The sequence below is a fragment of the Homo sapiens genome, chromosome 3 (assembly GCF_000001405.40).
Source record: "Homo sapiens chromosome 3, GRCh38.p14 Primary Assembly".
Lineage (NCBI taxonomy): Eukaryota > Metazoa > Chordata > Mammalia > Primates > Hominidae > Homo > Homo sapiens.
Window position 1 is genome coordinate 20,159,539 of NC_000003.12, and position 27,925 is coordinate 20,187,463.

Genomic DNA, 27,925 nt, shown 5'->3' on the forward strand with positions numbered 1-27,925 from the left:
ACTCATTGAATCCTTACAAAATTCAATGAAAATACTGAGATACAGAGAGGGAATTTTCCCAAAAAGGCAAATGCAGGGATTCTGGATCCAGAGTCAGTGTTCTTCAGTGCTATGCAATGCTACAGCTACATTTAAAGAATGATGGTCCTAGTTTGTTGCAGCATGAAGTATCTGGATATTGAGGCTACCAACCATAGTTCCTATTCCTTCACATTTCCCTGCAAATTCCTATTCCACATTTATTAAGCATCTCCTATGTTTAAAATGATAAAGATTTTATGCTAAGATTCTATTACTGGAAAAGAAAAGTCAATTGGAGAAGAAATGTCACATCAGTGAATTAAGAGATGAGAGATTAATTTCAGGTCAGGGTGAGAGTTGATGATGTGTTGTGGGATCAGGTTGGAAAGAGTCATGAAACACCCTGCTAAGGAGCCTGGCCTTCTGGGCCAGGGGCCTAGGCCCAAGGGCCTAGAACAATGGCCCAAGAGGGCTACTGAAACTTGGAGTGTGTGTAGTTACAAAATGATCAAAGTAGCAATTATATTTTCATGGAGAGGTCAGACATTGAATACTAATTACAGGTATCTTGAGTGCTATAATGAAAGGTAGAGCCTGCAGTGGTGGGACCAAGGGTGGCTTCAACAAAAATACAAATTAAATAAAAATCATACTTTTTAAGCAAATGTAGCTTTAATATACTTTTCCAGGGTACTCCCCTGGTTCCTTGTCCCAATATCTCCTCCATTAAAAAAATCACCACCCTAGGTCCCTGTTTATAGGGAAATTCTGGAGCTTTTACTAGTATAGTGCTATGAGATTATAAAAAGGAAGACAAAATCTGGTAAGCAGGAACTTAGAGAAAGCTTCTGAGAGGAAGTGGCTTTTTAAGCTGAAAGATTAGAATAGGCATTGACTAAGGCAAAATTTGGAAGAAGGCAGGCAGAGACAATACAGGCTAAGATCTCCAAAGAACTGAGAGAATTCAACATGACAAGAGTTGTAGAAGCAGAGGGGTGTAGTGTGAGATGGTGCAGGGCCATAACAGGCCATATTAAGAATAATGGATTTTATTTTAAGAGAAATAGGAAATGGATTTTATTTTAAGAGAAACAGGAAACAGCTGTTAAGCATAATCACATTTTGTGATTTAAAAAAAAATCATCTAGGAGATGGGATTGGAGAATTTCGCTTACACAATATCAAAGACTAAGATAACTTAAAAACTTTGACCCCTGAAAACACCTGGAAATGCTGGGTAAAATGCAATATATTTGAGGACACAGCTGAGCTTACAAGAAAGAAAAGGCAATCTCCAAGTGACACAACCAAAAGGAAACTTAAAAGAGGGGTTCAACACGTACTGATTCCTCGGTCACCCTGGGAAAGTTGCTATCTCTAATTAAAGGGCTTAGATTTTATTATGTATGTAGGCTGAGTGAAACAGACTGTCAACACCCCTCCATCTCTCCCCCAACACATAAAGCTAGAATCTATTAAAGGTCTGCATACATTAGTGAATGCATGGACTAAAAAAGTTTTCTAAGGATGTGAAGCCCGTGGACTTTACCTCAAGCAGATGTGGGTTTCAAGTTTACATTTCCTACAGTCTGGGAATCTCGAAACAAATTCTCGAACATAATATAAAATAAAAATTGCTTCTTTGGCAGGTGATACCTCCAGGGCTCCTGGTAAAAGCAAACACAAAATCAGTCTACAGAGATGTTTCTACAACCTAGTCCACAGATTTTATTCAGAAGGAAAAATAAGTTCCATGAAGGATGAGCTCACAATAAAAAATTAGAAAATATGTGAGCAAACAATCAAAAGTCAGCAGATACAACAAATATCAGAATTAGAGTGCTTATAATTGCTAAAAATAGAGAAAACATTAAGTGACAGGTTACATAGGCTATGATATAACCAAGGATAGAATGAGTGAACTGGAAGATAGAACTGACGAAATGATATGGAAAGAATGTAGCTAAAAAGATGGAAAATATGAAAAAGGAGTTAAGAGACACAGGTTATACACAATGTGAATTCCATCAGGGCAGAATATTGGTTTTGGTCACTGAGGCATCCCAAGGGCCTAGAACAAGATCTAGCACAGTTGTTCCTGAATATTATTAGTTAAATCAAAGCCCAACAATTACGAGATATTGCATAAGGAGAGAATGGGAAAAAGGCAATATTCAACAAGCCAATAATTTTTCATAATAAAAAGCATGAATATTTATAAGCATAGTGAATCCCAAGCAGGATAAATTATTGACTTCCACTTCTGCCTATAAAGTCCTCTACTATGGGACTTGTTCAGCCACTACAAGCAAAAAAGATGGAAAATATTAATCAACTGTTTTCAGAAATTGTGCAATAGCTAGTATAAGATTATAATTCCAGAGAGAAGGAAAATAAGCAGTGAGCCCCATGTTCTTCCTATATTTCTTCCCAACGTAGTTTCAGAATTGTGGGACAAGGAGTGAGAATCCAGAGTCCAGTAATATCATTGAGTTGAAGAGACAGACTGAAGTTTGGAGAGGCCGCAGATGTAGAATTTGCTAGCAGAGTAATAGACGGGAAAGAGCTATGCAGAGAAAGAGCTCCAGAATTCTGTCTCCTGAATGTTGACTGAATACTAATCCATGCATGTGTAGGATGAAACTTCATGTAACTATGGAAAGAACTACAGAGTGAAGAACAATTACAGGGAGTTGTGAGCCAAACAACACTCAAAAGTAATACTTTGAACAGGCTTGGGCAACCAGCAGCCAGAATGGATAGACCTTGTTGAATAAATGAGACATTCAGTGAAAACCCCAGATGCTTCACATCTTCGTACTGGGGGTAAACGAGCATAGAGTAAAAGCTCCCAAAGATCTGCCCCAAAAAACTTAAAAGCAAGCCTAATAAAGATCAAGCTGATCTCTAACAAACTTAATTGCCTGACAAAACGAAGTTAACTCTTTAAAAGAATACAAGAAGATATAGCTTATACAAATGTAAAATTCCCAATATACAGTATCCAATTTAAAAAGTTACAAGATATACAAGGCAGGAAAGTATAATAATCGACTAAAAGAAAAATAGGCCAATAAAAGTTGATCCAGAAATGACAGAGATAATGGAATCGGCAGATAGGGGTGTTAAAATAGTTATTCTGAACATTATAAATATGCTCTAGAATATAAAACATGAACACAATAAAGAGACAAATAAAATATATATATAAAATAAAGAACCAAATGGAATTTCTAGAGGTAAAAAAAAAAATACAATATCATGACAGAAAAAATACACTGGATAGGATTAATAGACGATTTAACAAAGCAGAAGAAACTATCCAAAATGAAGCCCAGAGGGAAGAAAAGACTAAAACTCACAAGAGAAATCAGAAAATACTTTAGACTAAATGACAACATATAAAAATCTGTAGGGTGCAGCTAATAGAGTGCTTAAAGGAAAACTTACAGCATTAAAAATACATTAAAATAAGAGAAGTCTTAATTCATAGTACCTTAAGAAGTTAGGAAAGGGCAAATTAAATCCAAAGTAGACGGAAGAATGTCAAAGAGTAGGAATCAATGAAATAGAGAATGAATAAAAAAGAGAGAAATCACTGAAACTAAAAACTGGTTCTTTGAAAGTCATAAACTTCTATTTAGACTGATCAAGAAGAAAGCACAAATAATCCCTTTTCCTGTTTGGAAAAAAAAAGCACAGCCTGTTGCCAGCACTCGTTTAATTTTACATAAACATGCTCTTTGAGGCTGAAGCAAACCTGACTGATTTTCAATGTGAAAATAAAATATAAAAACTTTTCTTGGAGTTAGTTCTAACAGAACTAACATTGGAATTGTCTGAATCATCAGAATCATCTATTTTGGAAAAACTGGGTTCATCAAATGAATCTTTGACCAACAACTGTTCAAGAATGATATTAACATCACACGTAGGATTGCTATATTTTCTAGGATTTGACATTTTCAGGTTTTGAGAATTACTACATTTTCTAAATGGAAATATAGTACTACTATAACAGAATGCTATAAATAGAATATCTTTTGTTTCCGAAGTCAATATACTAGAGTGTTGGAAAAATAATAAGAGCGAGATTATTTTGTGGCAAAGTTATCTTTGGGTAAACGCTGCAGCTGCAAGTGCTGCCAGTGAATATTCTTGGGGCAAACGGGAAAAAGGTTATCAATATCAGGAATGAAAAGAGAGGAGGATAACTACAGCTCTTACATGTAAGACAAAAAGTACAAGGGAATATTATGAATAACATGTCTAACAATTTGATAACTTAGATGAACAAAGTCCTTGTATAACACAAATTAGCAAAACTGTCTAAAGAAACAGAAAACTTAAAACATCTCTACATCAACTTTAAAAATGAATTCGTAATTTAAAACGTTTCTAAAAACAAAAGTCCTAGCACAAATAGTCTCACTAGTGTGTCAAACATTCAAGAAAGATTATCAATCTACACAAACTGTTTCAGAAAAGAGGAGGTGGAAAGACTTGTGAACCCCTTTTATGAGGCTGGTATTATTACTCTGATAACCAAAGCTAGAAAAAATTTAAGAAACCACAAGAAAACTATAGACCAATAACTCTCACAAACGTAGATGTGAAGATCTTTAACAAAATATTAACAAATAAAATTCAGCAATATACAAAAATGATGTTATGACCGAGTGATGGATTTATCCCATTAACTCAAGGTTGGTTTAACATGGGAAATCCATTTATTTAACTCACCATATTAAGAGAATAAAGGAGAAAAAAATATCATCTCAATAAAGTAACTGACAAAGTTCAACAGTCACTCAAGATTAAAAAAAGAAAAAAGGAAAAAAACCTCCCAGCAAAGAAGGAATACAAGGAAATGTCTTTAGTCTGAGAAAGGTTATTAGTGATCACTTACAGCTAATATCACAGTAATGCCCTAGGACCAAATGCTTCCTCCCAAAGTCGAGAAAAAGGCAAAGATAACTGCTCTTCTCACCCCTATTCAACATTATGGAGGAAGTTCTAGTCAGTGCAGTAAAGCAAGAAAAGACATGCAAAATAGAAAGACAGAAGTAAATTGTCTTTACGTGCAGACTTTAATTAAGATCATATACAAAAAAAAATCCTAATGGAACTGCAAAACATGGTAGTAGAACTAGTGAATGAATTTAGCAAGGTCTAGATATGAAAATCAATTGTATTCCATAAACTAGCAGCAAAATAACAGAAAATTAAAAATAATACATTTATAATAAGTCAAGAATATGAAATGCTAAGGGACAAACTAACAAAATATGAAGAAAAATTAGAATGACTAGACTTCTCAACAACAAAATCAAGCCTGTAAGAAAATTAGTAACTCTTAACCTATACCTCAGGAATGAGGGCAAAATTGAATTCATTTTAAGGAAAACACAGAATTTGACCCTTATCAAAATGACATAAAGAAAAAGCAGAGTAGTTTCTTAGTTCATTTGTGTTGCTATAAAGGAATACCCGAAGCTGGATAATTTATAAAGAAAAAATGTTTATTTGGCTTACAATTCTGGTGGCTGGAAGACTGGGCATGAGGTGAAAGCCTCAGGCTGCTTCCACTCATGGTAGAAGGCAAAGGGGAGCTGGCATGTGCAGAGATCACACGGCAAGAAAGGAAGCAAGAGAGAAGTGGCACTAGGCTCTTTTAAACAACCAGCTGTCTTGGGAACTAAATGAGTGAGAGCTTACTTATCCCCTCCTCCCAGTGAGGGCATTAATTCATTCATGAGGGACCTGTTCCCATGACCCAAACACCTGCTATTAGATCCCCCAGCAACACTGGGGATCAGATTTCAACATGGGATTTGGAGGAACCAAATTGTAGCAGATATAAAGCAAAAAAAATCAATAAAAGCAAAATTATAGCAGTTATCACAATACATGTACACTTAACAATTCCCAAGGGAGAAAAATTAAACAGATTCAAGAAGAATTAGAGAACATGTAAGACTTATAATTATTAAAAAACTAGTACAAAATTTCCCCATGAAAACATAGAAAGATAAGATGGTTTTGGTGTCAAGTTCACCAAACCCTCAACAGGTGCAATTTGTTTCCACAGAGCAAAAAAAGAAAACATTGCTAGTATAGCCTTGATACCGAAAATAGGTGTATACAAGAAATTATATAGGCAAATTTTACTCATGATCATAGATACAAAAAATCCTAAACAAAATTGTTGGCCAGGCGCAGTGGCTCACGCCTGTAATCCCAGCACTTTGGGAGGCCAAGGCAGGCGAATCACTTGATGTTAGGAGTTTGAGACCAGCCTGGCCAACATGGTGAAACCCCGACTCTACTAATAATACAAAAAATAGCTGGGCATGGTGGGCACACACCTGTAATCCCAGCTACTTGGGAGGCTGAGACAGGAGAATCGCTGGAACCCAGGAGGTGGAGGTTGCAGTGAGCCAAGATTGTACCACTGCACTCCAGCCTGGCTGACAGAGCGAGACTCCATCTCAAACAAAAAAAAAGTTAGCAAACAAATCCTACCTATGTATTAAAAAAATTATGACTTAGAAGACAACAGAAGAGAAAATAGACAAATTGGATTCAATAAAATTTCAGAACTATTGTACATCAAAGGACACTATCAACAGAGTAAAAAGGCAACCAACAGAATGGGGGAGGACATTTGGAAATCACATATCTGATAAGGGACTAATATCTAATATATATAAAAACTAAAACACAACAACAAAAAACAACCTATTGGATTTGAATAGACATTTCTTCAAAGATATACAAACTTAAATGTTCATTGATGGATAAAGAAAATATGTATACATACAATGAGATGTTACTCAACCTTAAAAAGGAATAAAATTTTGATACATGCTATAACATGGATGAACCTTGCGATTATTATGCTAACTAAGCCAGACACAAAGGACAAATATCCTATGATTCCATTTCTGTGAGGTACCTGGAACAGTCAAATTCATAGAGATAGAAAGTAAAAGTAGTGGTTACCAGAGGTTGGGAGAGAGGGGAGAAGAGAGAGTGATTGTTCAATGGGTATAGAGTTTTAGTTTGGGAAGAAGAAGTAGTTCTGGAAAAGGGTAGTGATGGTTGCACAATCATGTGAATGTACTTAATGCTACTGAACTTTACAAATAAAATGATCAAAATGGTCAGGTGTGGTGGCTCATGCCTGTAATCCTAGCACTTTGGGAGGTAAGATTGGACGATTGCTTGAGGCCAGGAGTTTAAGACTGGCCTAGGAAACATAGCCAGTCCCCATCTCTACCAAAAAAAAAAAAAAAAAAAAAAAAAAAAAAATTAGCCAGGTGCAGTGGTGCAAGCTTGTAGTCCTAGGTAAAGGGGATCCTTTGAACCCAGGAGTTTGAGGCTACAGTGAGTTATGATTGGCCACTGCACTGCAGCCTGGGTGACAGAGTGAGAATAAAAAAACAAAAATAAAATTTAAAAAGATCAAATGATAAATTCTATGTATATTTACCACCCCTACCAACACACAAAAAAATTGTGACTATACAATATACCCAGCATAAAGCTAAACAAATAAAGCAATGCAAAGAAGCCCATTCTATGACAAAGCTAGGAATATTCAGCAGTGGGGAAAGAAGACATTAGTCAATGAATTGTGCTGGGACAACTGGTTATCCTCATGGGAAAAAATAAAATTAGATCCCTAGTCCTCAAAATAAATGCCATATGGTTTAAAGACCTTAAAGTGAAAAACAAAAATGTACAAATTATAGACAAAATCTTAAGGAAGAAGGTGGTAGACGATACTAATATTTAAAACTCCTAAATATCAAAGGGAATTATAAGCAAGGTATAAAAAAGGGCAGAGATTGAGGAAAGATACTTAGAATACTTGTCAACAGAAAAAAAGGAATAGTGTGTAGACTATATAAAAAATCCATAGTTTTACATTCTATTAGAAAAGCAGGCAAAAGATATAATAATTCATAAAGGAAGAAATGAGAATAATAAACACTTGAATTCTCATAAATAAATCAATCAGATACAAGTTCATAGTAATTAAAACAAAGAAATAATTTCATACTTCCTGGCTTGGCTAATTTTAATGTCTAATAAAACTAAGTGATCGACAGTGTGTGGTGCTACTGGAACTTAGAAACTGCTATTAGGAGAGTGATATACTCCTTATAACAGAATTGGTGGAACCACTGTAGGAAGCAATTTCCTAACTAATAGTAAAGTTAAAGTTCAATATACTCTACAACCAAGCAACTCCACTTCTAGGTATTAACTTTATAGAAAGTTAAGCACTTTAAGTGTACAAAGATGCAGAATATTCACTGCAGCACTAATTTGTAAATAATAAAGTGGAAATGAATTGTGTCTCAAAAGAAGAAATGAATAAGTCTGATTTATATAATAAACTGTACAATGATGAAAATAATCTACATCTGCCAACACGGATAAATCTCAAAAACAATATTGAGTTAAAAGTCAGTTGTAAAATGATGTGTACAATATTCCTATAAAATGTTAAGATATAAAACAATACTTAAAAGCCTATGAACAAATATGACAGCAAGACTATAGGAACACTAAAAATACAAACAATTCAACACTGATTTTAGGATAATGATTGACTTTGGGGATGAAGGGAAGGTAAGGATCAAAGCTAGATCAGAGTGTCAGACCAGAATGATCTTTAAGGCAAAAGTAAAGTACTCAATGGTCTAGAGCAGGAGTTGGCAAACTTTTTTGGTAAAGACCAGAAAGTAAATATTTTAGGATTGTAGGCCAAGAGGCAAACTCAAGAATATAATGTAGGTACTTTACTGGAGTTCAAAGTTAGTGCTTCTATCATTAAAATTGATTTCAAATGTTTGCTTTTTTTTTTTTTTTTCAACTATTTAAAAACGTAAAAACTATTCTTAGGTTGAAGACCATCCAGAAGCAGGTGGTGTGCTAGATTTGGCCCATAGTCCAACTGTACTTTCTGTGATGATGGAAATGTTCAATATTTCCTCAATTGTCTAATATGGTAACCACTAGCCACATATGGCTACTGATCATTTGAAAGGTGGTTACATGGACTGAGAAACTGTTTTTTTTTTTTTTTTGAGATGGAGTCTCGCTCTGTCACCCAGGCTGGAGTGCAGTGGCACCATCTCGGCTCACTGCAAGCTCCGCCTCCCGGGTTCACGCCGTTCTCCTGCCTCAGCCTCCCAAGTAGCTGGGACTACAGGCGCCTGGCTAATTTTTTCTATTTTTAGTAGAGACGGGGTTTCACCGTATTAGCCAGGATGGTCTCGATCTCCTTGACCTCTCGTGATCTGCCCGCCTTGGCCTCCCAAAGTGCTGGGATTACAGGTGTTAGTAGTTTCTCGTGCCTGGCTGAGAAACTGACTTTTTAATGGTCTGTAGTCTTAGTTTAAGATAGCTACTCTAGTGTTTCCATGAAATTAAAGAATAAGTATGAAGGGAGTAGTAAGAAAAAAAAAACTTAAAAATTAAGAGACTGTGATGGAAGACTAGGGTGTATGAATCAGTGATGTGGCGGATAGAAAAATTTGGGATGATGAAAAGGATTTTGGCTCTGACTGACATAGAATACAGAAAGATAGGGAGATAACAGCCAAGAAAATCTGAGATATCAGGATTAGAACAGTCCCTCAATAAAATTATAATTTGTTAATCATGAACTGGGAGATTACACAGAGATAAGTTGGGAGAGAGAAGTGTTAGGTTGAAAGTATGGAGGGGAAGCTGAGAGTTTTATAGCAATGACTACTGAAAATACTAAGGATTAACTCACCTAGAACACCCCCCCCTCAAAAAAGAGAATACCAAGGGGAGGGGAGAGGAAATGTCCAAGGATGAGAATAGTGAAGACAGAGAGATACTCTATTTTTGATATTTAAAGAATAGAAGGAAAGCAATCACTATCTTATACAAACTTTATTGCTCTTTAAAAATGAATAACCTACAAAGTTCTAAAATTTAAAGAGGTATATACAAGTATAGACATCAAACTTTCTAAACTGAACTAATTCGCTTTCATTGGTTGGTCAAAAATATGCAAAAACCCTAAATATTCACACATTTAATCTCTGAGATTTCTGACTAAATAAGGAGCTACCCTGAAAGTACATGACATTTGTAATTTTATGGAGACATCACTCTGAACATACAATTAGAGCTTGGGGTTCACAATTAGTCACTTATCTTGTCCCTGAGCCTAAAAAAGAATCAATTTCTCTAGTCATTTTCCCATACATATTTTATCTGAAAAATTAAATATAACAGTGGTATAAGGAATTCATAAACAACTTAGGGTGTACCCTACTGTAAATGTCAAATATTTATTTTACTCGAATACTACACAGAGTTTCAAAAGATCCACAATAATTTATTTTACTCAAATATTGTACTAAAGAGTTTCAAAAGATCCTCTTAGAAAATCATTCACTTTAGTATCCCCTACTTAAGGGAAAAATAGAGATGCCAGAAGCTTATAATTAAAAGATCTTATTTGAGTAATCATTATTCATTTCTACAATGTTTGTATAAGATACATTTTGGGCTGGGCACAGTGGCTCAGTAATCCCAGCACTTTGGGAGGCCGAGGTGGGCAGATCACCTGAGGTTGGGAGTTTGAGAGCAACCTGACCAACATGGAGAAACCCTGTCTCTACTAAAAATACAAAATTAGCCGGGCGTAGTGGCACATGCCTGTAGTCCCAGCTACTCGGGAGTCTGAGGCAGGAGAATCGCTTGAACCTGGGAGGCGGAGGTTGCGGTAAGCTGAGATCGTGCCATTGCACTCCAGCCTGGGCAACAAGAATGAAATTCCGCCTCCAAAAAAAAAAAAAGATATATTTCGACTAAAATTAAGAGGTTTAGGCAGCATAAGAAATCGATATGATGATAATGCTTAAGCTCAGTTATTTATATTCAAAAGAAAAAATAAATTAAATTTATTAAAGTTTTAATACAAAGCATCCCATTTGAAGTATAGTTCTGAAGAAATGTTTATGAGCTAGGGTCCTGTCAAGAGAATATTCTATGGCAATGGCTCACTCTGTTTGTGTACTCTTACAGATCCTCTCCTGAAGCAACAGAAAGAGGTGTAGATTGAATTTAAACAATATCCAACAAAACCTTCATTGTATTTGTTTCATACTTTTTTTAGAACGTCTCAAATCCTTTTTCTGCTTGAAAATAGGAGAATTCAAAAAACACAAATCTGTAAAAGGGTCCCCTCTTCTCAGTTTCCTGTAAGAGTAAAAAGAGATCTCAGGCATAATGTAAGCATCCCAATATTAACTTACTCTTCCCTACCAAGTTATGGTAAAACACACCAATTTTAAATGTTCTCACTTCAGTTTTTTTAAATCAAATGTTTATATTTCAGAAAAAACTCATTCTTGAACAAAGCTCCATAACCTTATTCCCCCCGACATGTATCATTAAAAATAAGTTCCCACAAACCAAATACTTACGAAGCGAGGGTGGGCTCCTTATAGTTCACGCTGGCTGTGCACCTACGTTTAGGCAGAGCCACTGCTGGGCTTGCTTTATTCTTTTTTGGAGAAAGAGAAAGTCTTCTGATTTTCACAACAGGATACAAGGAGACATTGGTGATATCCTTCAGGCTAAGATGAGGTGACTGCTGAGTTTCAGGTGGTGTAGCTACAAAACAATTTTTACTGAATATGATTTAAAAAAAAAAACCCACACAAAAACTTAAATTGTACTCAATTGTATATATCTTAACTGTACACAAAATCCAGCATTTAATAATAGAATTTTTTTTTAGATGGGCTCTCACTGTGTTGCCCAGGCTGAAGTGCAGTGGTGTGATCTCAGCTCACTGCAACCTCTGCCTCCTGGTCTCAAGCAATCCTCCCACTTCAGTCTTCCAAGTAGCTGGGACTACAGGTATGCACCACCATGCCCAGCCAATAATAAATTCTTTTTTTAGCTTTTTCATCATTTTTTCCTCTTCCTTTCAAACCAGACAGTGTTGAAATATTAATTATAACAGAACACTTTACTAAAACTTAAAATTCTTCTAGGATAGCTTGGGCATAATAACTTTGTTTAACCATGGAATTTCATTTTAGTCATACCTTGCTATTTGGAATCAAGTCCTCTCTCTTTCAATACCAAGGTTTATTATCAAGTCTCTTCCTATAGTCTTATAAAGCCGCTAAAACTCCTTCTATTAAATAAATGAGAATTCTAAATAACAGCCTCTGTGTACACCAGGAGAAAAGCTAGCATGTAAAAAAGTTACTCAGTGTTTTTCCCATCATAAACATCCAAGTTATTATACTTTGAAGTTACACCTATATTGGGAGGCAAATGTCCAACACATAGTAAAGACACTGCAAAACAATCTCCTCAAATAGCTTTAAAAAGCAAACTGTATCCCCAAAAAAGTAAAAACTATAACTGTGAAATGATTGTATACTAAGAGCCATATGCTCCAGTGTTATCTGGGTTTTATAGTCTGTCCTTTTTGTTCCCACATAAATATACTGTACTGTATTAATTATTCCAACTTTCAGTTTGAGAAATATGTTGTTTGGAACAATATCAGATCAGTTGCTATATTCTGGAAAAATGCTTCTCAAACTTTAATGTGTATATGAATCCACAGGAGGACTTCTTAATGGCCAGGCACGGTGGCTCACGCCAGTAATCCCAGCACTTAGGGAGGCCGAGGTGGGCGGATCACCTGAGGTTGGCAGTTTGAGGCCAGCCTAACTAACATGGAGAAAGCCTGTCTCTACTAAAAATACAAAATTAGCTGGGCGTGGTGGCACATGCCTGTAATCCCAGCTACTCGGGAGTCTGAGGCAGGAGAATCGCTTGAACCCAGGAGGCGGAGGTTGGGATGAGCTGAGATCGTGCCACTGCACTGTAGCCTGGGCAACAAGAGTGAAACTCTGTTTCAAAAAAAAAAAAAAAAAAAAGATGCAGATTCTGACTCCACGGTATGGGGTATGGCCTGAGATTCTGCATTTCTTAAAAGACGTCTAGGGATTAAACTCTGAGTAATACCATTTTAGAGTATATTTTTTTCGTTTAAAAACGTATTTTTTATGTATTTTATGTATTTTTATGGATACAGGCTCACACATCTGTAATCCCAGCACTTTGTAAGGCCAAGGCAGGAGGACTGCTTTAGCCCAGGAATTTGAGACCACCCTGGCAACACAGTGAGACCTCATCTTCACAAAAAGTAAAAAAAAAAAAAAAAAAAAAAAATTAGCCAGGTGTGATGGCGCATGCCTGTAGTCCCAAGTACTGGGGAGGCTGAGGTGGAAGAATCACTTGAGCCTGGGAGGTTGAGACTGCAGTGAGCCATGACAGTGCCACTGCCCTCCAGCCGAGGTGATAGAGCAAGACCCTGTCTCAATTAAAAAGTGAACAACAACAAAAAAATCCCAACTTTTTCTGGACATTTTTAAATGTACACAAAGATGGCAATAACAGTATAATAAACTCTGAGTTACCCAGGTCCAATAATTATCAACACTTTGACAATCATGTTTGATTTATTCTAACATCATTATAGCATTTTTGCTTTTTTTTTTTTTGAGACTGAGTTTCGCTCTTGTTGCCTAGGCTGGAGCGCAATGGCATGGTCTCGGCTCACTGCAACCTCTGTTTCCTGGGTACAAGCAATTCTTTTTCTCCTGCCTCAGCCTCCCGAGTAGCTGGGATTACCGGCACATACCACCAGGCCTGGCTCATTTTTTTGTATTTTTAGTAGAGATGGGGTTTCACCATGTTGGCCAGGCTGGTCTTGGACTCCTGACCTCAGGTGATCCGCCCACCTCAGCCTCCCAAAGTGCTGGGATTACAGGCGTGAGCCAACCCGCCCGGCTTACAGCATATTTTTAAAAAAGATACTTGCCTGCTACCACTGACTAACTGGCCGATTTAGAAAGTTGGTTTGGTTTTTAAGGTTTTAATCTCCTTACAAACAAAATAAGCATCATAACACCTATACTTCACAGAATTGTTCTGAGGATCAAATAAAATGATGTGACAATATTTTGAAAATGATACAACTTGACTATAAATGTTAGTTTTACTTGTATTAACTAAAATTGCCAAATGAGAATCTTTGTGGACAGGTGTAGGTTGTATTACGAACATTTGAACTATGCCTACTTTTGATCTAATAAAATATTTTCTGAGCCAGTTTTTAGAGATGTCGTACAAAAGAATACTAAGCCTATCAATTGAGGAAATCTTCACTAACTAGAAGATTATTTTAAATCACGGTTCCTGTCAAATTTAATATAAAACAAGGCCATTAAAATAACAAGTCACTGGATTCAAATTTGATTTCACTTTCAAGGGGATACTTCAGTTAAGTGTATAAAAGCTACTTCAATTCAACCTAAGTCTACAAAAAAGTCCCTCTGTCCCCTTGGGAGTCCTAATTTACTGAAAATAAAAATTCTGTCTCCATAACAAGCAATCTCTGAATTAGGTCAGAGCAATACAACTGTGATTTCCACACCCAGCCCCCCACTGTTTAATCAGACCATAACTTCCACCAAAGAGAGACAGATGGTAAGTCTCCAACCTCCACCAGAGAAACAGATGGTAAGTATAGTATATAAGCATCAGGAGTGATCATTTATCACGAACATTAAAAATACAGGTAAACAAGTAGATCACTTACTGGTAGGAGTTTTTGTTGGCTTAGAACCCTCCGTCTCTTTTTCATCTGTGTATTTCAGTGCTCTTTTAGCTAGAGGCCTGGTGACTGGTCTATCTGAATTGCTCGTGGGATTCTGAATGTACTTGCAAGTGGGCAAATAGAGGTCATCGGAATCATCTCCTGAACCACTTGATTCACAGAGGCTCACTTCAGACTCGTTGTTTTCTTCTCTATTAGAGTCATTGCTCACTTTTTGTCGGAAAGGAGTAAGATGAACACCCTCTTCCAAATTAAAATTGTAAGCATCATTGGAACTGACAGATTTGTGCATTTTTTTTTGGGGAACAGTTTTTTTATTTTCGCTTTTATTCTCTTTATATTTTGACATACGTTTTGATTTTCTCCTGTTAGCTTTTCTTTTCTCTTCTCTTTTTCTTTCTTGTGTATCTCTTTGCTTACTTTTAGTTTGTTCAGATTTAGATTCTAAAATGTCTTCTTTTGTTTTAGTAAACGTTCCTGGCTGAATCAGCTTTGGTGATAAGTTAACTTGGTCCTTGCTCCATTGACAAGCATTGTGTTGTACATTTTCAGGTATGTGCATGTTTACTAGTGGGTCTAAAAATCCAACTCTTTCGAATTCAAAAGACTTCCCTGCCAAATGACTGGTTTCAAAATCATCCAAGCTATCAAACTGACATATACTGTTACAATGTTTCTTTAAACTGCTACGAACAGATACAGTTCTAGGTAAGACATTATCAGTAGACTTAGCTTCACCTGAATCAAAATCAACTCCCAGTGTGTCTTGAGGAATAGTAGGTATCTGATCTGAGAATTTAAAAAATAAATGAGAAAAGTAGTTTTACTTTGTGGAAATTTGAATTTCAAGAACTTTAGAATTCAAACTAAAAAAGTGAATGACCAAAAGGTCATTCTGTAGTTTTCCTACATTATAAAATCTGTAAATAAAAACCTGGGAACTTAAATATTACCATCTATTTACTTGTCAGTGATCAACTGATGGCTTATATCTGACATGTGAAAGAATCTTGTACAGGTTCAGTATCCCTAATCTGAAAATCTGAAATCCAAAACTTTTTTAGTGCAGTCATGATGCTCCAAGGAAATGCTAACTGGAGGGTTTTGGATTTCAGATTTTCAAATTAGGGATGATGAACTGATATAATGTAAATACTCCAAAATTTAAAAAATAAATCCAAAACACTTCTGGTCCCAAGCATTTTGGATAAGGGACATTCAATCTTTATAATCTTTAAAAACATTATAGGCCAGGCACGGTGGCTTACGCTTGTAATCCCAGCACTTTGGGAGGCCGAGGCGGGCAGATCACGAGGTCAGGAGATCGAGACCATCCTGGCTAACACAGTGAAACCCCGTCTCTACTAAAAAAAATACAAAAAATTAGCCAGGCGTGGTGGTGGGTGCCTGTAGTCCCAACTACTCGGGAGACTGAGGCAGGAGAATGGCGTGAACCCAGGAGGCAGAGCTTGTAGTGAGCTGAGATCGCACCACTGCTCTCCAAGCCTGGGCGACAGAGCAAGACTGTCAAAAAAAAAAAAAATTATAACAGGCTTTTATGTGCTCTTGGTTTAAAGAAAATGAATAGTCTATATGTATCATTGAGTACAGATTCAGAGAAGTAGAACCGCATATTCCAAAGTGGGACAAATGAGAAAGTGGGAGCTAAGTTGTTCTTTGAAAAATAAATAAGATTTGAATAACTAGAAAGCTTCTCAGGTAAGAAATATAATTTGTATTTTAAGGAAAAGTGGGGCTATGTCTGGTTTTGCTTATTCAAATACTATCCTTCCTTCGACGTCTGGTTTTGCTTATTCAAATACTATCCTTTCTTCAATGCTTGGTTCAAGTGGAGGAGATTGACACTTGAGAACATGGACATATCAATTTAAAAGTAGTAAGAAAGGGATGGCTTTGGAGTTCAACTTTGATTTTAAATGCTAGCTGTTAACATCTAGACTTCTTCATGTGAGATATTTTACCTTCTTGAGTTCCTATAAAACAGGACTAACTGTACTTATAGTCCTAGGTTGTTGTGAGGGTTAGGTGAGATTATGCACATAAAATGCCTAACATAGAGCTTGACACGTAGTAGCAATCAGTAAATTGCTGCCATAGTTATAGCCAAAGATTCAGATTACAGATTTGACACAATAAATATATTTTAACACTCTATTACTCTGTGTAAAATAAACAGATTTGCTTTGAGCAGAATACCAGATGAACAAATTTAAAAAGTTAAAAAAAAAGAATTAGATAAATTTAATTGTATTATTTGTTCTCAAAGACCTTATTTTGCCCTTAATAATATTTTTAGATTTTCACTTGAATTACCTTCTATTTGAAATGATTCTCCTTGTCCTGGAAGTTCAGTTTCTTCAAGAGGAATTTGCCTTAGAAAATACCAATGAAAAACAGAAATTTAACAATTATGTAATAAAAACAAATTCAGTATTTTCCTAAATTATAATTTTTCTTTCCTTTAGTATCATTTCATAATTCGATTTCAAATCAATACATCTATTCTGTATCAAAGGAAACCAAAGGACACTTATGCTGATTACAGGGAGACTGATTTGTTATGACTGACATTCAATTCCCACTTGAAGAACCAACCTATCAAGTTGGAGAGTTCCACCTGAAAACACATTATATAACTCAATTTAACTACGGAAACAGCCCATGAGAATTAATTTGTTAAATGTTTTTTAAAAAATGTAGTTTGATCACTCAACTCTTTAGGAGCCTGCTTTATCATTAGCAGAGCTGTGATTTGTTGGTAATATATGCTTTTATGGTGCTTAACTATTGAACTCTTCTGAAGTTAACATTGTTCATTTTCTTTACAAATGTTGTTCTTTGGTTCATGAAACATGAAGTGTTCTTTATACTCTAACACTATTACTGGCAGTTTCATTCTAATTGTAATTTTATTCTTTATTCTCTGTAGAGAATTTTCTACTCTAGACATTAAACAGATTTAGGTAAGTAATGGCTGTGGTAAATAATAACTACTTTAGAAATCTTCTACAAATTCAATTACCTTATCTTACCTTTTGCCCACAACAGATCTTAAAGTACAACAGTTTAAAAACTACTAATGATTAAAAGTAATCTATGGTGATAGAAATCATCTTAGTGGTTACTTCTGTGGAGAAGGGGATGGACTTGATAGGCATACGAAAGAACTGTCTATGGCAGTAGTTCTCATCCAAGGGCAATTATGCTCTCCAGGGAACATGCCACAATATCTGAAGTCATTTTTTGTTCTCCTGATGATGTTACTGGGATTCACTGGGTGGAGGCTATGGATGCTGCTAAACATCCCATCATGCACAGACAGCTCTCTACAACAAAGAATTATCTGGCCCACAATGTTAACAGTGAAAACACTATGTCTTCATTGAAATTTTAGTTCCACGATATATACATTAGTCAAACTCATCAAATTGTAACTGTGATCTGTGCATTTTACTGTTTATAATTAAATCTTAATAATTCATAAACAAACAAAGTACATTTGATCCAAGAGAAGGGGAGGAGGGTATATGGGATCTAGAAAAATGAACTGGATCAGCGAGACAATGGGACAACTGTGTTAAATATGATATTTTATTTATTTATTTATTTATTTATTTTCTGAACCAGACTATTCAGAGGGCTGGCAAAACATCTCATTTCAATAGCTAATCCTTCTTAGAATAAAAACATGGTACACAGAAAAGTATGACTGAAGGAAAGTATGAAGTAGAATTAAAAACTGTGGTAAGGCTTCTTTTTCCTAGGCATCAAAAAAGGAGTGAAATATAAGAAAAAGAAGGGTTTAGCTTGGCTATATGTAATAGAATTTCAACACATCAAATTCTCTTAAATATATTCTCAGTAGAGAAAGCAACAGACTACAAATATAAGAGTTGACATGATGCACATTTCCTTTCATAAATGAATCACAGAATTAAACCTTTCTTAGTATTAATAATCATGATAAAGAATTTGATACTAACGGTAAATCCTTCACAAATAAATTTCTGGAGCTGTCATCACTATTGGGGTCCATTCCAGAGGAACATATTTCCTGGTTCTGTTAATGTATTAAAACAAAACACTGTTATAACTGAAGTATTCACAAGAAAGCATTAATTTATTCAACAATATGCACTTGTTGACAGTCTATCATGGTGCCATGCCATGGTTCTAGGAACTGAGACTATAACAGCTCAAAAGCAGAGTAAGTCTTATCCTTTTAAAGCTTACATTCTAGTGCAGGGAAGTAAAATTTTAAAAAGAGAAGATATATGTACAAAATTTCAGATTGCGATAAATGTCATGAAGGAAATACCCAGTGTGAGGTGATAGAGAGTAACTCAGGTTGGATTGCTCTTTTAAATACAGTGAATGTGATATAAATCAGAAGACTGCAAAGGAGCTAGCCACTGAAAGAACAGGAGGAAAAGAAGGCAGTGGAAACAGCAAATACACATAAGAAAAATCTTGCTGTGTTTAGGAAAGAAAGGTTGTTGTGGCTGGAACATAGTCACTGAGAACAGTAGGAGATGTACATGCAGGGGCCACATAATGTAGGGCCTTGAGAGCCATGAGTTTAGATTTTAGTCTAAGTATGATGGGAAGGTACTTAATATTAAGAAAGGAAGTAAACTGATTTAAGTTTTTGAAAGATCAGTCTGAATTGAAAGAGGCCGGGGGTAGAAAGAGCTGAGAGGTCATCATTGCATATCTGGCAAGATATGATATCAGCTAAGATTAGAGTCATGGCTATGGAGGTGAAGCCCAGTGGAAGGCCTTGAGATGACAGGTCAAGCTCAAGGACTGAAAAGGGATGGAGATGGGAACAATGAGGGAGAGGAAAGCCTCTTGTGGTTTTGGCCTAAGCAAACATGTAGGCTACTTTACTGAGTAAGACTTATAAAGGAAGGTAGGAAGTATACAGCATCTGTGGGGGAGACAAGGGGAAGTTGTGCTTTATATAAGGTATGTTTGAGATCCCTTATAAATCTTTAAGTGGAGATAGCAAATGGTGGCTGTGGGTATATGTGTGTATGTGTTTGTTTTTAGATTTTGTACTATTAACTGGGGAGGCATCAGCAGACAGACAGTACATAAAGCTATGAGAGGGTATAAGATGAGTCTACAACAACTGGCATTCATTCATTTTTTTGAAATAAAGTCTTGCTTTGTCACCCAAGCTGAAGTGTAGTGGTGCTATCATAGCTCACTGCAGCCTTGAACTCCTGGGCACAAGCAATCCTCCTACCTCAGCCTCCCAAGTAGCTGGGACTACAGGTGCATGCCACCACAACTGGCTAATTTTTATTTTTTATTTTGTAGAGATGGGAGTCTTGCTGTGTTGCCCAGGCTGGTCTTGAACTCCTGGGCTCAAGCGATCCTCTCACCTCAGCCTCCCAAAGTGCTCTGATTACAGCCACGAGTCAATGTGCCTGGCCAATAAAATGCCTGACATTTACAGGTAGAATGAGGAAGAAATCAGCAAAAGAGACCGACATGGAACAGTCAGAAAGGTAGAATGAAAAGCAGGGGAGCATGATATCATGAAAACTAAGAGATCAAAGTATGTCAAGTAAAGAGTGGTCCCTGTTTTGCATATTATTACTGCAAGGTCAAGAAGAAAGAGAAGTGACCACTGAATTTGGTAACATGGAGGTTTTGGTGACCTTGACATGCAGTGACAACAGAATGGTAAGGATAAAATCTAGATTCAGAGTGGCTGCAGGCCAGGCGTGGTACCTCATGCCTGTAATCCTAGCATTTAGGGAGGCCGAGGCAGGGGTATCACTTGAACCCAGGAGGTCAAGACCAACCTGGGCAACATAGTGAGATGGTCTCCACAAAAAAGTTTTAAAAAATTAGCTGGGCGTGGTGGTGTTCCAGCTATTCAGGAGACTGAGGTGGGAGGATCACTTGAGCCTGGGAGGTCAAGCCTGCAGTAAGCCATGATATGCCACTGCACTTCAGTCTAGGCAATGGAGCGAGACTCTGTCTCAAAGGAAAAAAAAGAGTCGTTTCAAATGTGAATGGAAGCTGAGGAAGTGAAGAATATACTGTTTTCTTTTAAAAAGTTCTGCTGTGAAGGGAAGCAAAGAAATGAGGAGATAAAGAAATATGAGACCAGGAGAGGTTTCATTACTTTTTCTCTAAGGTTGAGAGATACGAAAGCACATCTTTATGATGACTGAAATGATCCAGTGGAGAGGGGGATATATAGAAGAGAGAACAATATTCCAGGAATAAAGTTGTAGAGGAGGTGAGAAGAGAAAATTGGATGCATGGGCTGGGGAGTGGCTGGGGTTGGTGCTTGCCTTTAGTAGGAACAGGGGCCATTCTGCCACTGTAACAAGAGGGAAGATGAAGAACCTAAGTATAGAGGTGGATTTGCAGATCTCTGTTATGAAGATGACAATTCTCACTCAATTCCTAAGAAGCCAATTCTAATTTAATTATCTTTTGAAATTTGATGAACATATGCTGACATTATAATAAATAAGCTAAAAATGTTCATTAAAAACAAAACAACTAGAAATTTAATCCTGTTAAAAGCTTTAGGCCAGGTGTGGCGGCTTCTGCCTGTAATCCCAGCACATTGGGAGGCCAAGGCCAGAGGATTGCTTGATACCAGGAGCTCAAGACCAGCTTGGGAAACATGGCAAGATCCTGTCTCTACCCCCAACAAAAAAATTAGACAGGTGTGGCAGTGCATGCCTATAGTCCCACCTATTCAGGAGGCTGAGATGGGAAGATTGCCTGAGCCTGGGAGGTGAAGGCTGAGTGTGCTTGAGCCTGGGAGGTGAAGGCTGCAGAGAGCTGTGATCACACCACTGCACCCCAGGCTGGGTAAGAGCGAGACTCTGTCCACCCCCAACCTACCCTGGCCAAAGATGAAACTTTAAATTTGACATGAATATAGCTAATGTTCTGAAACTAATATTAATGCAGGTAAATAAAAAAGAACATTTAACTATATACTAATATAACTTAAAAACAAGTCATTGAAAAATCTACTATAAAATTAGGGAACAAAAGGCTGTTAAAAATTACCTAAACGTTAACTATTGCTAGGGCTAGGCAAGAAAACATTCTTGTAAAATTCTTACATTTTAAGCTTCTCCACCACTGCTAAATTGATTTGATAAGCACTGAAGCACGGGTGTACAATGAGGTTGAGAATGAGTGACACAAGCAATTAGTACATAGCAGAAAATAGAAACAATGACCTTCTAAATGCTAAGAATATATTTGCGTAGCAACTAACAATGTTTTTAATAAATACTCAAAAACTATTGAGCTGCAGTAATAGAATTTTTTCCCAACTGCTTTTGTAATTATCTCATTGAGTATTTGCTTCCTACTATTTCTGTTTTTCAGCAAAAACTTTGTAAAGGGAGGAGGAAGATTCAAATGCCTTTAGAGGAACTGTTTCCCCCTACTAGTTGACTGAACAAGGAAAATACAAAATTAGAAAAGATTACATTCTGGAAAAGAAAAAGAAAAAGTAATCTACCACGCCTGGCACAGTGGCTCATGCCTGTAATCCCAGCACTTGGGGAGGCTGAGGTGGGTGGGTCACTTGAGGCCAGGAGTTCGAGACACCTGAACAACATGGCGAAACCCTGTCTCTACTAAAAATATAAAAATTAGCCAGGTGTGGTGGCGCATGCCTGTAATCCCAGCTACTCGGGAGGCTGAGGCACGAGAATCACTTGAACCCAGGAGGCAGGGGCTCCAGTGAGCTGAGATTGCACCACTGTACTCCACCCTGGGTGACAGAGCAAGACTCTGTCTCAAGAAAAAAAAAAGAAAAAAAAACATAAAGTTCCCGTGAAGAAAACATATCTAATCTTTATAGAGGCAGTTCTCAAATATACCATATATGTACTTATTGTCTATGTGTGTATATATGTATATATTACATGTATCTTAATCACATGGAGAAAAAAAAATAAGGAATCAAAAGGGAAGCAAGAACTCTTTCACTGACTTCTCCTGTCAATGGAGAAGTGATGTTAATTTCATTCTCAAGTACCTGCCCACCTCCTCCCACCCCCCATATCCCTCCCCTAATCACAATGTTCTCGCTTTCTTATCTGACCTTCCGGCCTAAGTGCCAACTCAACTGTTTTCACTGGCATAGCGAAGCAATGGCCACTGGGAAGAAATTCAACTTGCTGTACACCTGACACCACTGCTTTTTTTTTCTCTGCCCCATTTCCTTGGCAGTGGCTACTGGAAAAAGGGAAAAATAAACTAGCTCATCATTACTTTTTTCGTAAGTAATGATACACATTACTGTGTACAGTGATACACAATGGTATAGCCAGACACAAAGAATATCCTAAAGCAAACTTTCTCCATATCTGTTATATTTTGGCTAGCAGGACCATATTTGAACACCTTCTTTACAATCTTAGACACAAAGAGAATCAGATTAAAAATTTGAGGCCGGGCGCGGTGGCTCACACCTGTAATCCCAGCACTTTGGGAGGTCGACATGGGCGGATCACGAGGTCAGGAGATCGAGACCATCCTGGCTAACACGGTGAAACCCCGTCTCTACTAAAAATACAAAAAATTAGCCAGGCGTGGTGGCGGGTGCCTGTAGTCCCAGCTACTCCAGAGGCTGAGGCAGGAGAATGGCGTGAACCCAGGAGGCCGAGCTTGCAGTGAGCCGAGATCGCGCCACTGCACTCTAGCCTGGGCGACTGAGGGAGACGCCGTCTCAAAAAAAAAAAAATATTTGAGCAGCAAATGTTTATGATCTTACTTGTCTGGGAGTTAATAGTCTTCTCTACTTAGCCAACAAGTAGGTAAAAATGGTTCTCCAAAAAGCACTTAAATACTCCCTATGTCCTAAATAAAGGTAGTTCTTATAAAACCCCACTGGATAAAGCAAAATGACATAGCAAAACAAAAGGCTAGGTAAAAGCTAAGATAGCATTGATTAAAACTTTTGGATAAGTCCACTTCAACTACCACTTTTACATCTTTAGCTTAGTTGCACTATCTTTGACTCACTTAGTTGAACATTCAAATGGACCAGCAATGCAAAAGGCTAAACTATTTCTTCTGGATCCTGTTTTGCTACCTGCTTTAAGAATGAAACAGGCAGGAACAGGCCTCAATCACCTATATGCTTGAAGCTTTCTTAAATGGCCAAATGCAATAGCTATGCTGGAGCACTAAAGAAGGATGTTTTAAACAATTCATGCATAACTGAGCTATCAGTAATTCATTTAAATAACATAATTGATCTAAACTACTTATTCATGGCTTAACTAAACTAAGAAATTCGGCCTTAGTAATGAAAATACCTGAGCAGGTTCTACTGTTTGTTGTGATGTAAGTTTTCCTTTCAATGCATATAGCTGACATGTGAGATAGTAACATTCTTTTCTCAGCTGTAGGATGATATCTTGGGCTTCTTTCACTTTGGATTTTTCATTTTCCAAAGCTAAAACTAACATTTTGTTGTTGTCTTGGTAATTTTTCAGCAGTGTAGAAGTGTTGGCTAAAAGAGGATAAAAAAATTTATCAGTTATTAAATCTAAACTTAAAAGTGATATAAAAGGACAACATAAAAATCTCTTACTGATTATTTGGCATGGTGCAGCTATAAAAGACCTGCGTTTGCCAATCTCTGCCAAGTTTTTATTCCTTTTCTCTTTCATTCGCTTCTTTATGTCTTCAAGACTATCTTGAAAGGACTTTTTCAGGCATCTTTCCTTGGCCATCTTTTGCCTAAACAATAAAAAATATTTTTTCTCAGAGAGAATATTATCAAATATAAAACTTAAAAAACATAGGCTGTTCATAAAGAATGCATTAAATAGACTAAACTGTAGAATTAGCTCAAAGTAGATAGTTAACCAACTTGATAATATAAATTTTCCCCTTTTAAAATCTCATTCATATTTCTGATATTCTCTCTTCCTCCTCAGGCACTTTATAGAAAAGGTTTATTGAATATAGATTTCCAACCCAAAGATTCCACAATATGCCACTTATTCATTCTTTAACAAATACTCACTGTGGGGTATATGCCAGACACTATTGAAAATGCTTATTATTATATTTTGATGCATTATTTACACTTTTTATAGAAAATGTTTAGGACCAACTTTTACTGCTTAAGCTTACAGCATTAGTTCTGAGGCAATTATATATTTGGGTTTTGTTTTCCAGCTCTTCTCTAATGATTAATTCATCAGATTAGGTCATTCAACTATTTTTCCATACTCTTTAAACGCAATTATCACTTATGATATGCACACAGTCTCAAGAAAGTCAAGGTACTCCTTAGAGGTTTAAACTATGTAGCACTACATACAATTTTAATAGGCTATTGTAACAAGTACAGAGCTAGAGCAGGAACTTGGGCAGAGGAACACTCTAGTATTCTCAAACTGTGGCTAAAAGTTAGGGCTGTTAACTCCCAGTAAATTATGAACATAACAAATCAGACATTAAATATTGTTGTACATACAGTTAAACGTTGAGTATTAAATACATAACTATACTTAATCTTTCAACGTTGCAAATCAGGTAGGCTTTAGCATGCTACTAAACATGTCAAACCACTTTTCACAAACATCTTTTACGCTAGATTGCACTTTGCAGATCTTAAAATTGCAAAAAAAAAAGACTTGTTTCCAATAACAATCTATGCACAGAATTTTCACTACAAAGGATATCTTCATCTCCTCTACGATAGTCAAATATTTTCCTAAACCTTACACTTAATCTTGAGTATTTCCTCCAGGCCTTATTTTCCTCTATGCAGTGTCTGGAATCTTAAATATAGGTATTGTAGATACCACTTAAGAACTTTCTTTCTACCAAGGTATATACAATATGTACTGGGAGGTTCCTAGCAGAGATAGGGTAGCTATTTTTAAAAGCACGAACGGTAAAGGGGTTGTTTTACACAATTAAGTTAGAATTGGAGATGTTTGAGAGTCATACAGATTAAGTAACGGATCTAGTTTAGTTAAGGTATTTTAAAGGCAAAGCCTTACCTAAAAAGCTTTCGTTATTACTTTTAATCAAGTTAAAAATCACAAAAGAAACTTGCCATATCAAAAGTTTTATATCCTGTCTAAATAAGGCGATGGTTATTAGCAGGGGGTGTGGTAGACAGAAGGGATGAAAGCAAAGACAGACCACAGCGCGAGATGACGGTCTCAATCTGTACAGTACTCGTGTAAGCGCTCTGGATTTAAAGAACCTAGCATATTTGATCTCCGTCCATAATTCTCCAATTAGTCCTGCTGCGAAGACAGCCAGGTAGGATACTAGTCAGTGCCGGCCTCTCCAGGGTAAGTGAGGAAGAGAATGGCCTGGACAAGGAGGACGTCAACGGTATCACGCTGCACAAAGAACTGCTGTCAATTTTCTTGTGTCCTTACGTTGAGCCAGGCTTTTAGCTATTGTAAAAGCTTTATTTGCACATCACTTAATCTACACAATTTTGCAAAGTAGGAAATTAGGGTCTCCATGGAAGCCGGAACATCTGAAAGCGCAGATCGAGTGGCTGAACGGCGAAAAGCGCGGCGAGTGGGACTCCACGGCCCGAGCTTTCGGCCACCGAATTTAGAATGATACTGAAAACCGAAGGGAAGTCAAACAGGGATCACTACGCCCTTGTTTCGCACCTTAAAACCTACTTCTTCCTCTTTCAGGGACTCCAGGAAGGCCGGGGGGAGGTGGGGCTGGCGGAAGTGGACGCGGCGACCCTCCTGCCGCAGGCGCGTCCAGAACGATACCTTGGCCACTACTTCTGCAACAGCTATCTTCCTCCTCCTCACATTTCAAGGCTCTTCGAAGCTCTCCAGCCACGGCTAGCCCCGCGCACTGGGCCCTCCAGGACCGTACCACCGTCCGCCGTCGCCTGGAACTACCGCCGCCACATTCGAAATTTTCCGCCTCGCTCCTCCATTGGTTGGCTGGGAGGCGGTCACGTGGCGCAGGATGCACCCAACACCACCGTCGCAGGCAGAGTCCCGCCCCGCCAGGCGACGTCACGTGACGCACATTCGCTCAAGTCCACATCCGGGCATCCACCTGGCCCTGGGGCGGAGCCTGCGGTCGGGTCTCGGCGACCCGCCGGGACTTTCTAATCAGAGTCGTGGGGATTTTACGGGTGGAGTTACTCCGAAACCTTTAAGGCCGAGTGTGATAGGTAGTTCAAAGCTTCCTGTTTCTTCAGTCTGACAGCTTCAAATGTCCCGGGTTGTGCTCAAAGCCTCCCTCTTGTGAGAAGAATCTCTTTGGTTGCCTGTTAAAGCGGTCAGCCAGCTTGCAACACGGAAGCAGCTTTTAGAGGAATTAAAACCAAAACAAGGAGCAAATTCTGGATTAAAAAGGTATTAGGGAAACTGCAGATACCTGAAAATTCTAGCTCCATGTTTCTCTTTGCCGGCTATCTCTGGCTCTTTAACTCTTCTCGAGAAATGGCACCAACATCCATCCAGTTACCGACTAGAAGCCTGAGAAATCGTCCTTAATGATTATTTATCCTCTCTTAACCTTTGCCCGTCCAGTCGGTCACACGATCTTCTCAACTCTGCTTTCCAAGTTTCTCTCATGCCCATCTTTTTCCCCCCAATCCAGCTTCCAGCCTAATCTCATTCCCTAAATTGCACTAGTACCCACTCTGACCGCAGACTCCACTCCCTATATTCTTCATAGATTAATATTTTTACAAAACAAGTATCAAATAGGAAACTTTACAATGGCTCCCTATTGCATTTAAGGTGAATTTCAAACTCCTTTAAGATATTTTGTCCTTAAAGAGCCCCATGATTCCTGGTTCCATCACTTGTACATTTTCTTTAATTTTCTTAAAATTCTTGCCACTTTTGCCAATGCTGTTCTGTCAAGAACACTCTTTCCCTTGGCCGAACTTACTCCTATGTATACTGAAGTTTCACTGTACAGATGAATTCTTCCAGAAAGACTTATCTACCCCTAAAGCCCCTGAGTGTCTGCTTTACACTTTCTTAGTGCCCTGCATTTTCCCCTTGGTATTCCTTGTGACACTGACTTGTCGTTCATTGCCTGTTTCTTGAAGTTGAATAAGGGCAGGAACTACATCTGCTTTGTTCATAGCTAAATTGTCAGCATCTCGTTGCAATTTGAAGTAAGTAGTAAATATTCACTGGGACAATA

General features: G+C 37.5%; 1 protein-coding gene and 1 long non-coding RNA gene across 25 annotated transcripts, besides 2 other annotated features; one reads left to right on the forward strand and one right to left on the reverse strand.

The window, feature by feature from the left end:
* SGO1 (shugoshin 1) lies at positions 1,055 to 27,348 on the reverse strand. Of its 24 annotated transcripts, none has more exons than XM_011533377.3 (9): positions 27,143 to 27,348; positions 24,348 to 24,496; positions 24,070 to 24,266; positions 18,733 to 18,809; positions 17,063 to 17,121; positions 14,711 to 15,517; positions 11,505 to 11,694; positions 11,186 to 11,277; positions 1,055 to 1,688 (listed from the first exon to the last, which is right to left on the reverse strand). In XM_011533377.3, the coding sequence occupies exons 2-9, from the start codon at positions 24,487 to 24,489 to the stop codon at positions 1,567 to 1,569; spliced, it is 1,686 nt and encodes a 561-aa protein (XP_011531679.1). In that variant the 5' UTR covers positions 24,490 to 24,496; positions 27,143 to 27,348; the 3' UTR covers positions 1,055 to 1,566. The 24 variants fall into 24 exon arrangements, 22 of the variants coding, with proteins under 22 accessions (XP_011531679.1, NP_001012412.1, NP_001012410.1 ...); NM_001012412.5 differs by lacking the exon at positions 27,143 to 27,348 and adding an exon at positions 26,521 to 26,668 and having other exon boundaries at positions 15,467 to 15,517; NM_001012410.5 differs by lacking the exon at positions 27,143 to 27,348 and adding an exon at positions 26,521 to 26,668.
* Positions 14,748 to 26,577, forward strand: SGO1-AS1 (SGO1 antisense RNA 1). The gene is made up of 4 exons (NR_132785.1): positions 14,748 to 14,987; positions 15,197 to 15,280; positions 17,679 to 17,712; positions 26,437 to 26,577. It is a non-coding gene; the product is annotated as an SGO1 antisense RNA 1 (long non-coding RNA).
* Positions 26,386 to 27,065: an enhancer, noted in NCBI's record as "active region_19584". NCBI's record gives its function as "activates an Ori minimal core promoter by ATAC-STARR-seq in GM12878 lymphoblastoid cells {active_cell/tissue: GM12878}" and the evidence as "EXISTENCE:reporter gene assay evidence [ECO:0000049][PMID:35858748]".
* Positions 27,086 to 27,145: an enhancer, noted in NCBI's record as "active region_19585". NCBI's record gives its function as "activates an Ori minimal core promoter by ATAC-STARR-seq in GM12878 lymphoblastoid cells {active_cell/tissue: GM12878}" and the evidence as "EXISTENCE:reporter gene assay evidence [ECO:0000049][PMID:35858748]".

Coding starts and splice junctions, on each gene's coding strand:
- SGO1 (XM_011533377.3), bottom strand. CDS start 24,489: ATGGCCAAGGAAAGATGCCTGAAAAAGTCCTTTCAAGATAGTCTTGAA. Junction 17,122..18,732: donor TTATTTGTGAAGGATTTACC/GTTAGTATCAAA, acceptor GTATTTTCTAAG/GCAAATTCCTCTTGAAGAAA. Junction 15,518..17,062: donor AGAATCATTTCAAATAGAAG/GTAATTCAAGTG, acceptor TTAAATTCTCAG/ATCAGATACCTACTATTCCT.